General features: G+C 37.3%; 1 annotated feature.

The window, feature by feature from the left end:
* Positions 7475–8674: an enhancer, noted in NCBI's record as "CDK7 strongly-dependent group 2 enhancer chr2:124597039-124598238 (GRCh37/hg19 assembly coordinates)". NCBI's record gives its function as "activates an origin of replication core promoter dependent on BRD2, BRD4, P300/CBP, MED14 and CDK7 cofactors, with strong dependence on CDK7, by STARR-seq in HCT116 cells {active_cell/tissue: HCT116}" and the evidence as "EXISTENCE:reporter gene assay evidence [ECO:0000049][PMID:35650434]".

Here is a 13532-nt window from a genome sequence, read left to right as displayed (position 1 = left end):
TCTCCGCTATTGTGAATAGTGCTGCAACAAACATGTAGATGCAGGTATCCCTTTGATACATTGATTTCCTTTCCTTTCCTCTCCTTTCATCCAACAGTGAGATTGCTGAATTGTATGATAATTCTATTTTTTGCATTTTGATACATCTGCACACTGCTTTCCGTAATGGTTACACTAATGGACACTAACCAACAGTATTTAAGAGTTTTCTTTTCTCTGTATTCTCACCAGCTTAATTTCTGTCTTTTTTATAATAGCCATTCTAAGTAAAAGCATGTCTCATTGTGATTTTAATTTGCATTTCCCTGATGATTGGTGATGTTGAACATTTTTTCATACATCTATTGGCCATTTGTATGTCTTCTTTTGAGGAAGTTCTATTCATGTTATTTGCCGGCTTTTTCTTTCTTTTTTTTTTTTTTTGTGAGAGGGAGTCTCATTCTGTTGCCCAGGTTGAAGTGCAGTGGCGCTATCTCAGCTCACTGCAACCTCCACCTCCCGGATTCCAGAGATTCTCCTGCCTCAGCCTCTTGAGTAGCTGGGACTATAGGCGCATGCCACCATGCCCAGCTAATTTTGTATTTTTTAGTAGAGATGGGGTTTCACCATATTGGCCAGGTTGATCTCAAACTCCTGACATTGTGATCCCTCAGCCTAAGCCTTCCAAAGTACTGGGATTACAGGCGTGAGCCACCAGGCCCAGCCATTTGCCCACTTTTTCATGAGATTATTATTATTTTTTGTTATTGGATATTAATCCATTGTCAGATGAATATTGTGCAGATGTGTTCATCCATTCAGCTGGTGTCTCTTCTTTCTGTTTTTTTTTTTCCTTTTTGCTAAGAGATTTTTTTTAAGGTTTATTTAGTCGCATTTGTCTATTTTTGTTTATGTTGCTTATGCTTTTGAGGCCTCAGCCGTAAAAATTTTACCTATACTAATGTTCTAGAGTATTTCCCCAATGTTTCCTTTTAGTAGTTTTATCATTTGGGGTCTTACATTTAATTCTTGATTCCACTTTGAGTTGATTTTTGTATATAGGGAGAAATATGTCTCTAGTTTTATTCTTCTGCATATAGATATACAGTTTTCCTAGCTCCATATATTGAACAGGGTGTCATCTCTCCAGTGTACATTTTTGGTGTGTTTGTTAAAAGTAAGTTGGCTGTAACTATGAGGGATTATTTTCTGGTTCTTTCCTCTGTTTCATTGGTTTATGAATCTATTTTTATACTTATACTATATTGTTTTGGTTACTATAACCTTGTAGTATGTTTTAAAATTAGGTAGTTTGATAGCTAGAGCTTTCTTCATTTTGCTCAAGATTATTTTGGCTTTTGGGGATCTTTTCTGGTTTTATACAAACTTTAGAGCTTTCACCCCTATTTTGTGAAAATGTTCATTGGTATTTTGATAGGGATTGCATTGAATCAGTAGATTGCTTTGGGTGGTATAATCATTTTAACAACATTAATTTTTCTAACTCATGAGTATGAGATGTCTTTCCATTTTTTGTTTTTTCTTCAATATATTTTTTCTTTTTTCCCCATAAACTTTTATGTTAGATACAGGGGGTACATGTGCAGGTTTGTTACCTGGGCATATTGCATGATGCTGAGGTTTAGGTTACAAGTGATCCCGTGACGCAGGTACTGAGTATAGTACCCAGGAGTTAATTTTTCACATTTGTCCCCCCTCTCCATCCTCCTTCTAGTCATCCCTAGTTTCTATTGTTGCCATCTTTATGTCCGTGAGTAAACAGCATTTAGCTCCCACTTGTAAGTGAGAGCATGCAATATTTTATTTTCTGTTTCTGTGTTAATATGCTTAGAATGATGGCCTCCACCTGCATCCATATTGCTGCAAATGACATGATTTCATTATTTTTTATGGCTCCATACTATGCTGTGATGTATATGTACTATATTTCCTTTATACGATCCACCATTGCTGAGGCCCTAGGTTGATTCCTTGTCTTTGCTATTGTGAACAGGGCTGTAATGAACATGTGAGTTCATATGTCTTTGTGGTAGAATAATTTTTTTTCTTTTGGGTATATATTTAGTGATGGGGTTGCTGGATTGTATGGTAGTTGTTTTTTGAGTTTTTTGAGAAATCTCCATAGTGTTTTCCATAATGGCTTCACTAATTCATACTCTCAGAAGCAGTGCATAAGAGTTTCCTTTTTTCTGTATCTTCACCAGCATCTGTCTTTTTTGTTGTTTGTTTGGTCTTTTTGATAACAACCATTCTAAGTCGGGTAAGAGGATATCTTACTGTGATTTTGATTTGCATTTTCCTGATGACTGGTGATATTGAACATTGTTTTATGTTTGTTGACTGCTAGCATATCTTCTTTTGACAGGCATCTGTTCATGCCATTTGTCTATTTTTAATGGGGTTGTTCAATATTATTTGTATAATTGTTTAAGTTTCTTATGGATGCTAGATATTAGACCTTTGTCAGATGCGTAGTTTGCGAATATTTTCTCCCATTCTGTGGGTTTTCTGTTTACTCTGTTGATAGTTTCTTTTGCTGTGCAGAGGCTCTTTAGTTTAATTAGGTCCCACTTGTCAATTTTTGGTTTTGTTCCAATTGCTGTTGAGAACTTAGTCATAAATTCTTTGCCATGACCAATGTCTAGAAATGGTGTTTTCTAGGTTTCCTTCTAGGATTCTTATATATTGAGATTTTATGTTTAAATTTTTAATTCACCTTGAGTTAATTTTTGTACATTGTGAAAGGTAAGCATTCAGTGTCATAGTTCTGCACATGGCTTGCCAGCTATCCCAGCACCATTTATTGAATAGAGTTATTTCCCCTTCGCTTATATTTGTCAACTTTTTCAAAGATCAAATGGCTGTAGGCCTGTGACTTTATTTCTGGGCTCTCTATTCTGTACCGTTGGTCTATGTGTCTGCTTTTGTACCAGTACTGTGCTGTTTTGGTTACTATAGCCTTATAGTATCATTTGAAGTTAAGTAGTGTGATGCCTCCAGCTTTGTTCTTTTTACTTCAAATTACTTTGGCTATCTGGGCTCTTTATTGGTGTCACATGAATTTTAACTAAGTTTTTTTTCAATTCTGTGAAAAATGATGTTGGCAGTTGGACATAAATAGCATTGAATCTGTAGATTGCTCTGGGAAGTATGGCCATTTTAATGATACTGATTCTTTCAACCCATGAGCATGGTATATGTTTCCATTTGTTTGTGTCATCTATGATTTGTTTTAGCAGTGTTTTGTAGTTCTCCTTGTAGAAAACTTTCATCTCCTTGGTTAGATGTATTTATATGATTTTTTGGTAACTATTGCAAACTGGTCTGCATTACTATTCTTCATTTGGCTCTCCACTTGAATTTTATTGATGTATAGAAATGCTACTGAGTTTTGTACATTGAATTTGTATCCTGAAACCTTGATAAAATTGTTTATCAGTTCTCATAGCCCTTTGGCAGAGTCCTTAGGGTTTTCTAAGTATAGAATTATATCATCATTAAAAAGAGATAGATTGACTTTCTCTTTTCTTATTGGAATGCTTTTATTCAATTCTCTTACCTAGGTTGCTCTTCCAGCACTTGTAGTACTATATTGAACAGGAGTGGTAAGAATGGGCATCCTTGTCTTCTTCCAGATCTCAAGGGAAATACTTCCATTTTTGCCCAGTCAGTATAATGTTGTCTGTGAGCTTGTCATGGATGGCTGTTATTATTTTGAAGTATGTTCCCTTGATGCTTTCTTTCTTGAGGGTTTTTATCATGAAGGGATGTTGCATTTTACTGAAAGCTGATTCAATGTCCATTGAGATAATCACCATGTTTTTTAATTTAATTCTGTTTATGTGGCGAATTTCATTTATTTATTTGCATATGTTTAACCAACCCTTCATCCCAGGAAGGAAGCCTACTTGATCATGGTGAATTAACTTTTTGATGTGCCGTAGAATCCAGTTTTCTAGTATTTTGTTGAGGATTTTTGCATCTTATGTTCATCAGTGATACTGGCTTGTAGTTTTCTTTTTTCGTTGGGTCTTTGTCTGGTTTTGGTATCAGGGTGATGCTGGCTTCATAGAATCAGTTAGGGAGGAGTTCATTCTCCTTAATTTTTGCAAATATTTTCAGTTGAATTTATTCCAGCTTTTTTTCATACATCTGGTAGAATTTGGCTTTGAATCCATCCGGTTCAGGGCTTTTTTGGTTGGTAGATTTTTTTATCACTGTTTCAATTTCAGAACTCATTATTGATCTGTTCAGTGTTTCAATTTCTTCCTGATTAAGTCTCAGGAGTCAGTGTGTTACCAGGAGTTTATCCATTTTCTATAGATTTTCTAGTTTGTGTGTATAGAGGTGTTTATAATAGTTGCTCCAGTATTTGGTATTTCTGTGAGATCAGTTGTAATGTCACCTTTATCATTTCTAATTGTGCTTATTTGGATCATCTTTCTTCTTTTCTGTGTTAATCTAGCTAGTGGTCTACTGGTCTTGCTCAGACTAAAAAAAAAAAAAACTTTTGGGCCATACCAGATATTTTGGTATATTATATTTCTGTTTGCATTTATTTCAAAGAACTTTTAAACTTCTGCTTTGATTTTATCATTTATCCAAAAGTCATTCAGGAGCAAATTTTTAAATTTCCATATAATTGTGTGGTTTTGAGAGATCTTATTGGTACTGATTTCTATTTTTATGCCATTGTGGTCCAAGAGTATGGTGGTATAATTTTTATTTTTTTTTAATTTATTGAAACTTGTTTTATTGCTGAGCATGTGGTGGGTCTTGGAGTATGCTCTGTGTGAAGAGAAAAAGAATGTATAATCTCTGGATGATGAGTGAAATATTCTGTGGATATCTATTAGCTCCAATTTTTCATGTGTTGTGTTTAAGTCCAGAATTTCTTTGTAAGTTTTCTGCCCCAGTGATCTGTTTAGTGCGTTCAGTGGAGTGTTGAAGTCCCCCACTATTGTTGTGTGGTTTTCTAAGTCTTTTCTCAGGTCTAGATGTGTTTGTTTTATGAATTTCAGTGCTCCAATGTTGGGTGTGTATATATTTGGGGCAGTTAAGTCTTTTTGTTTAATGAAACTGTTTATCTTTATGCTGTGACCTCCTTTGTCTTTTTTCTTTTTCTGTTATTGGCTTAAAGTCTGTTTTATCTGGTGTAAGAATAGAGACCCATGCTCTTCTTTGTTTTCTGTTTGTGCGGTAGATCTTTCTCCAAGCCCTTATTTTGAGCCTATGGATGTCATTACATGTGAGATGGGTCTCTTGAAGAGAGCAGACAGATGGGTCTTGTTTTTGTAACCACCTTTCAGTCTGTGCCTTTTATGTGGGGTGTTTAGGCCATTTACATTCAAGATTAATATTAACATGTGAAGTTTTGATTCTTTGGTGAAGCTGTTAGCTGGTTGCTTTGTTATATCTATTGTGTGGTTGTTTGATAGGGTCTGTAGGCTGTGTACTTATGTGTGTTTTTGCTGTAGCACATATCTTTCTTTTATTTTCATTTTTAGAATTCCCTTAAAGATCTATTGTAAGGCTGGTCTAGCGGTAACAAACTCCCTTAATTGCTTGCTTGCCTGGAAAATATTTTATTTCCCCTTGGCTTATGAAGCTTAGTTTGACAGTATATAAAAATTCTTGGTTTGAATTTCTTTTCTTTAAGAATGTTGAAAATAGTCCCCCATTCTTACCTGGCTTGTAAGGTTTCTACTGAGAAGTCTGCTGTTAGCTGGATAAACTTCCCTTTGTACATGATCTGCCCTTTTTCTCTAGCTACCTTTAAGATTTTTCTTTGACATTAACATTGGACAATTTGGTGATTATATGCCTTGGTGATGTTAGTTTTGTATAATATCTTGCAGGCATTCTGTTTTATTTTTCTAAATCTGGATGTCTAACAAGATTATGGAAGTTTTTTTTTAAATATTCCATCAAATATATTTTCCAGTTATTTATTTTTCTCCTTCTCTTTCAGAAATGTTAATAATTCATAGGCTTGTTTGTTTTACATAATCTTATGTTTCTCAAAAACTGTTTATTTTTCTAAATTGTTTTATCTTTATTTTTGTTTGATGGAGTTATTTCAAAAGATTGGTTTTTAAGCTCTGAAATTCTTTCTTCTGATGGTTGGCTCTATTATTAAAGCTTTCAACTGTATTTTGAAATTTCTTATGGGAGTTTTTCAATTCCAGAAGCTCTGATTGATTTTTTTAAAGGTGTTTATATTTTCCTTCATTTCTTGAATTGCTTTAGAAGTTTCTTTGTTTTGGTTTTCAACTTGTCTTGGATCTCATTGAAATCCATTGTAATCCATGCTTTGGATATGTTATCTGTCATTTCTGAGTTCCCATTTTGGTTTGGGAGCATTGTTGGAGAACTACTGTAATCCCTTGCTGGTATTACTTTCAGATTTCTCATAGTGCTAGGATTCTTGCACTTGCTTCTTCTCATCTGGAGACACTGGAACTTTAATTCTTGTAATTATTTTCATGCAGGAGCATTTTTTTTCCTTTACGTTATTATTATTACATTCTCTTTCCCTTTCCCTTTTTAATCCTTGCTGGGAGATGTGACTGTGTAGAAGGCTGGGCAGGATCTTGTAGATTTGCCTCTATAGTTCTATGCACTTCTTTCAGTAGGTTATAGGATATGGAGTTTGACCCACAAGCCCACAGATGGCACTAATAGGTAAGAGCTGACTATGGCCAACATGGGTGCGTATACACTTCATTTTTTATTTGTTGGCAGAAGCTTTCTGTTGCCTCAGATAATGGTCTGATATATGGAATGCACAGTATTCTGAGCTTGCTTCTTAGCCCAAGGGACACGAACCATGAAATGTGAGATTGGACTGGGCAGATCCTCCTACTGGTCCCCTGATGGAAAGCACAAGCACCAACACTGTGGGAGAAGCCAGTGGGAAGTCAACAAGCACCCAGAGCTGTGCCTAGGCATAGAGCTGAGAAATCACCTCAGCATTAAGTTCTCTGCACACAAATTGAAGGGGGGTGGGAAGCTTAAACTTCTAATCCAGAAGATGGTTTCAGCAGGTTTTAGATGGTTTCTGATCTCAGATGCCTGGAGATCTGTCAGATGGTACATGGAGCAGAAAGGGACCCCTTGTACCAAGATCTCTGCACAGGAATGCTGTGGGGACTCAGACTGCTGAACCAGGAACCAGGCAAGCAGGTGTTCTGAATGTCTAGATATCTGCCTAGGCATGTAGCAGAGATGGCTCTCCTTCACCAGGGTCTCTGTGCAGGAAGGTGAGGTGGATTAGGTTGCTGATCCAGGCAAGCCGGTTCTCTGAATGCCTAGAGATATGCCTAGATGTGAAGCAGAGAGGGCTTTGCTGCACCACAATCTATGTCCAGGAAGGGTGGGGTGGCTCCGGTTGTTGATTCAGATGAGTGGGTTCTCTGATTGCCTGGCGATCTGCCTGGATGTGAAGCAGAAAGGGCCTCCCTGCACCAGGATCTCTGCATAGGAAGGGTGGGGCAGATAAGGCTGCTGACCCAAATGAACAGTGATCTGAATGTCTGAATGTGGAGCAGGGAGGGTTCCCCTGCATCAAGAGCTCTGCACAAGAGGGGCAGGTTACTCAGGGTGTTGAACAAAGCAAGCAGGTGCTCTAAATGCCTGGAGATTTGCTAGGCATGTAGAAGAGAGGGTCCTCCTGTGCCAGAATCTCTGCACAGTAAGGGGAGGGCATATCAGCCTGCTGATCCAGGCTAGCTGGTGGTCCAAATTCCTGGAGATTTGCCTCAGTGTGGAACAAAGAGAGCCCCACTTTACAACAATATATGCCCATGAAGGTTGGGGCACTTCCAGCTACTGAATTAGGTGAATGGGTGCTTTTCATTTTTGCAGACCTGCCTGGGCATGCAGCAGAGGGAGCTCTGCTGCACCATGATCTATATTCAGGAAGGGTGGAGCAGTTCAGGCTGCTGAACCAGGTGAGTGGGTATGCCAAATTCCATGGGATCTGCCTGGGTGTGGAGCAGAGTGCCTCACTGAACCACAACCTAATCCTAGGAAGGGTGGGGTAGCTCAGGCTTCTGGTTCAGGCAAGTGAGTGTTCCAAATGTCTGGATTTCTGCCTAGGTGTGGAGCAGAGTGGCCCTTGCTGCACCATGATCTTAGGAGAGCCGGGGAAGACACACAGCAATGGCACACACAGATTGGTTTCAAGTCACCAAGCTGGTCCAGGCTACAAGTCTCACCATCCAGGAAAAATAGCAGCTGTAGCAGTTCCCCTCCTGCCTAGGCTTACCATGGGGAAGAGCACAATTCTAGCCCTGCTCCTGGGGTGATGTCCATGGTTCTGACTGTGGAGGCCTCAACCCCACTCAAGAGAAGGTGCTCCAATCTCTGGCCAAAACTACAATGCCTGTGCAGCCACACTGCCAGGTCACTAAGGTATGTCTTTCTATATACCTAGATTTAAAATAGTGTACTGCTCTCAGTCTTGGATCTGGGAAAATGTCTGCAGCTTTTTCCAGTGTCTTTCCATCACAGCATCTCCAAGCCTCTCCCCAAGTTAGCCCCAGGGCTTGAGAGAAACAGTGTTCTCCCTTGGCCTAGGTTGCTTGGATTCCCAGTGGAAAGGTGAGTCACAGAGACAGACTCTCTGCCCTCTCACCTACCAGGTCTTTACTCATTTTTATCAACCACATGCTGCCACAGGGGCAGTTTGCCAGATTATCTTCTTCAGGATCTGGGGTGACCTTCATGATTCAAGAGGATTCCCATTTTCCTTCTTGATTTAAAGCTCACAGAATTTATTTCTATGTACTATCTTGCTATTTCCAAATGGCGGAGGCATGCTGAAAGCCCCTAATCTGCCATCTTGGGAAAAAAAAAAAAAAAAATATATATATATATATATATATATATATATAGAGAGAGAGAGAGAGAGAGAGAGAATATTTTTTATCAGTCATTTGTAATGTTCCTTGTGGAGACCTTTCGCTTCCATGTTGAATTTATTCCTAGATATCTTTCTTTTGGTAGCTATAATAGACAGGATTGTCTTCTTTATTTCTTTTTCATCTTGTTCGTTTTGGGTGTGTAAAAATCTTACTGACTTTTTAATGTAAATTTTGTTTTCTGCAACTTTATGGAATCTTTTAATCGGTTCTAAGTATTTTTTTGGTTAAGGAATTAGGATTTTCTAAATATAGGATCATGTCACCTGCAAAAAGGGACAATTTTACCACCTCTTTTCCAGTTGAGATGCCTTTTATTTCTTTCTCTTACCTGATTGCTCTGGCTAGTACTTCCAGTACTATGTTGAATAAAAATGGTAAAATTTGACATCCTTGTTTTATTCTAGTTCTCAAAAGAAGGGATTTCAGCTTTTCCCCATTCAGTATAATGAAGTTGTAAGTTTGTCATGTACGGCCTTTGTCATGTTGAGGTATGTACCTCCTGTGCATAGTTTATTGCGGGTATTTTAGTGGAGTGAAAAAAATCTTTTTTTAATGGAGTGAAAAATAGTTTTACTTTATTATTATGAAGTTATGTTGAATTTTACCTACTGCTTTTTCTGCATCTATTGAGATAATCATATGGGGCTTTTCTTTCTTTTTGCTGAATGTAATTTATCACAATTCTTGATTTCCATATGTTGAACCATCCTTGCATCATTGGGATGAATCCATCTTCATCATGGCTTATTACCTTTTTGATATGTTGGATTAAGTTTGCTAGCATTTTGTTGAGGATTTTTGCGTCAATATGCATCAGGAATATTGACCTGCAGTTTTCCTTTGATGTTGTGTTCTTGGCTTGTTTTTATATAAGGGTAATTCTGGCCTTGTAGAATGAGTTAGGAAGAATTCTCTCCTCTTCAATTTTTTTGAATGGTTTGAGAACAATTGGTGTTACTTTTTAAATATAAATTTAATAGAATTTGACAGTAAAACCACTTGGTCCCGAGCTTTTCTTTGTTAGGAGATTTTTATTACCAATTCAAATTTGTTACTCATTATTAGTCTGTTCGGGTTTTCTGTTTCTCCCTAGTTCATTTTTGGTAGCTTGTATATGTCCAGAAATGTATCTATTTTATCTAGCTTTCCCAGTTTTTTACCTTATAGTTGTTTACGATTATCTTTTGTATTTCTGTAGCATCAGATGTAATGTCTTGTTTTTCATTTTTTATTTTATTCATTTGGGTCCTCTCTCTTTTTTCTTTGTTAATCTAGCCAGAGGTATTGATTTTGTTTATTCTTTTTTCTCTCTTTTTATTTTTTGTGGCCCTCATCTAAGGTCAAGCAAAAAACACTATTTTCATTTATTTTCTTGTTTCTATGTTTTATGAAGTAAGATCCCATTGACATGAGACAGTTAAAAACAAACCTACATATTTATAGTGCAACAATTACAGTGGACCAGAAATGGGAAATCTAGTTCTGCAAACATATTAACAAATGTATTTACAGACAGCTCTGGTGATTGGTAACCATGACCAATTTAAAATAACACTAAAAATGTATCTTTTCATAAATCACAGCCATTTAACCTATCTATATGTGTATACAAAAAAGCGGAAGCATTCTAGTGCAAAAGCATGCTTAATAAAACATGTAATTTCAGCCTCATTAAATACTAAAAATATATATTTCAGTTAACAATTTCAAGTTGTAGAAAAACTGTCTTAACTTCGTTGTAATAGCCATGAGAAGAGAGTCTTTTCCAAAGGAATCATCGTATTTATAGAAGAATGAGACTATTAAACCAACTATTTTTAAGAATAGCAAACAAAAACACCTTTCTAAAATTTCTTGAACTGGGGAGAGCAGCCAGCCACAATTATGAAGGTGCTAATGAATTCTCCAAGGACAACAGGATGATGGTCATATTGTCAGGGAAATTGCTGTCCTGTATACCTATTCATGTGGCCTATAGCATTTCAAAAGCTCTGAGAAACATCTTCAATAAGATATTAACTAAAAATATCTTGATAATTTTATTCAACCCAGAATGTTTCAAACTGACTTGAAACTGACTTAACATTTTTTTCTTACACTATTAAAATATTCTCTTTAACAGTGTTCCCAGGCACATCAACTCAGTTCAGTTGTTTTAGATTAATGACTCTTTCTCTTCTAGCCAGCATTTCCTCTTCTTTTTAACTGGTAATCTAAGAAATGTATCACTTTCTGTTTATATTCTTCAAGACCAGCTTATTCAAGACAGAGGCCTTGTTCATTCTGTACTCATCATTCAAATCTACTGTGCCACTCTATATCTCAATTATTGTTGCCATATGAGACCAAAGAAAGAACTGCAGATGCCAAAGCCACTGAAAAGACTAGGATGCCCTGCTCTCCGCCACCAAAAAAAAAAAAGAAAAAGAAATAAAAATAAGACTAATTCAAATTAAATCTACATTTTTCTGGATCTTCTAATAACAGAATTCTCACTTCTTTTGGTGTCCCTGCCTGGCAAGTATCCTGACCATGTACTTAGTCTGCCTATTAAAAATTCACACTCTTCAATTTCACAAGTCCTTGGCATTTTTCTCTTGGATTCACAATAAAACAAATGCCAGATCAAGGACATCCATCCAATAATTTAGTAGGTGGTAATCTAATTGAATGGTGCAGTTAGAGATTAGCTTTAAAGCTTAAATTATGCAGCAAAGACATTATTATTACTTAAGGCTTCATCTTAATAAAAGAAGGATTTGGAGAGCTAGTAGAGATTTTTGGAGGCTGAAGCTGTTCTCTCAAGCCATCTGTCAGTGCTGCCACTTTGTGATGGTTAATATCGAGTGTCAACTTGATTGGATTGAAGGATGCAACATATTGTTCCCGGGTGTGTCTGTGAAGGTGTTGCCAAAGGAGATTAACATTTTAGTCTATGGACTCGGAGAGGCAGAATCACCCTCAATCTGAGTGGGCATCATTTAATCAGCTGCCAGAGTGTCTAGAACAAAGGAGGTAGGAGAAGATGAAACAGCAGACTTGCTGAGTCTTCCAGCCTTTATCTTTCTCCCGTGCTGGATGCTTCTGGCCCTTGAACATCAGACTCCAGGTTCTTCAGCTTTTGGACTCTAGGACTTACATCAGTGATTTGCAAAGGACTCTTGGACCTTTGGCCACAGACTGAAGGCTGCACTGTTGGTTTCTCTACTTTTGAGGTTTTGAGACACGGACTGATACACCACTGGCTTCCTTTCTCCTCAACTTGCAGACAGCTTATCATAGGATTTTACCTTATGATTTTGTAAGTCAATTTTCTTTAATAAACTCATATATATATATCCTACTAGTTATGTCCCTCTAGAGAACCCTGACTGACATACAGTTTGTGTGGAGATACACACACACACACACACACACACACACACACACACACACACACACACAAATGTATTGCTGGCTGATCTACTTACCCCTAGCTGTCCTCATTTTTTTTTTTTTTTTGAGTTGGAGTCTCGCTCTGTCGCCCAAGCTGGAGTGCAGTGGCTGCATCTTGGCTCACTGCAAGCTCCGCCTCCTGGGTTCACGCCATTCTCCTGCTTCAGCCTCCTGAGTAGCTGGGACTTGTGCCACCACTCCCAGCTAATTTTTTATATTTTTAGTAGAAATGGGGTTTCACCACGTTGGCCAGGATGGTCTCGATCTCCTGAACTCGTGATCTGCCTACCTAGGCCCCCCAAAGTGCTAGGATTACTGGCGTGAGCCACTGCGCCTAGCCAGCTGTCCTCATTTCATATGATGTTTCTGAGCATTAAACATCTTGTGGATTTTTCCACATAAAATTCAAAATGACTTTTAACTGTTATTTTCCATGTGGGCTCTATCTAACTCTTTACTTCTTTGTTCACCATTAATTCTTCATTTGACGCTACAGTCCTATGACACTATAATCATCTACTTTCAAACTTACAATGAAAAATCTTACCATGGCCAACAAAGTGCTACATGATCTTAGCACCTCAGTGACTTCATTTCCTTTCACATTTTTCACTGAGGAAGCACCTTGAAATTTTTGTTGTTTCTTTAATTGGCCAAGTATACTTTACCTACAAAATTGTCGTAGTTATGGTACCCTTAGTTAAAGACAATCTCCCCCTGCATATTCATATAGCTTACTTCTTCAATTTTCTCAAGATATTGTTCAAACATTAGTTCTTCAACAAAGCCTTTAGTGATTTCCAAAGTAGAATCTCATGATTAACTTTTACCTCCTATCAAATGGAGTTTGAATTTCATAAGTTTGGAGACTGTGTTTTTGACTACTGCATTCTCAGACATGGGGCAGTGCCTAAAACCTAATAACAACTCAAGAAACACTTGTTGAATGAATAAATGAGTCCCTTCATTTTCAACAAACTATCACACAAATGCATCTTTGTAATACTGTTTTCTTGTCTGAAGACCCTATGACAAGTCTTAGTAAAAAAAATTATTTATACTCCATGTATGGCACAGATATTGTATTATCTAGAAATATTTTCTTACATCCCTATTCCTTTTTATCCTCTACCCCCACCTCATTAATATTTTTATTACAGAGCAACTTTC

Source organism: Homo sapiens, chromosome 2 (assembly GCF_000001405.40).
Source record: "Homo sapiens chromosome 2, GRCh38.p14 Primary Assembly".
In the NCBI taxonomy this organism is placed as follows: Eukaryota; Metazoa; Chordata; class Mammalia; order Primates; family Hominidae; genus Homo; species Homo sapiens.
Note: the sequence above shows the minus strand (reverse complement) of the source record. Positions and strands in the feature narration are given on the sequence as shown.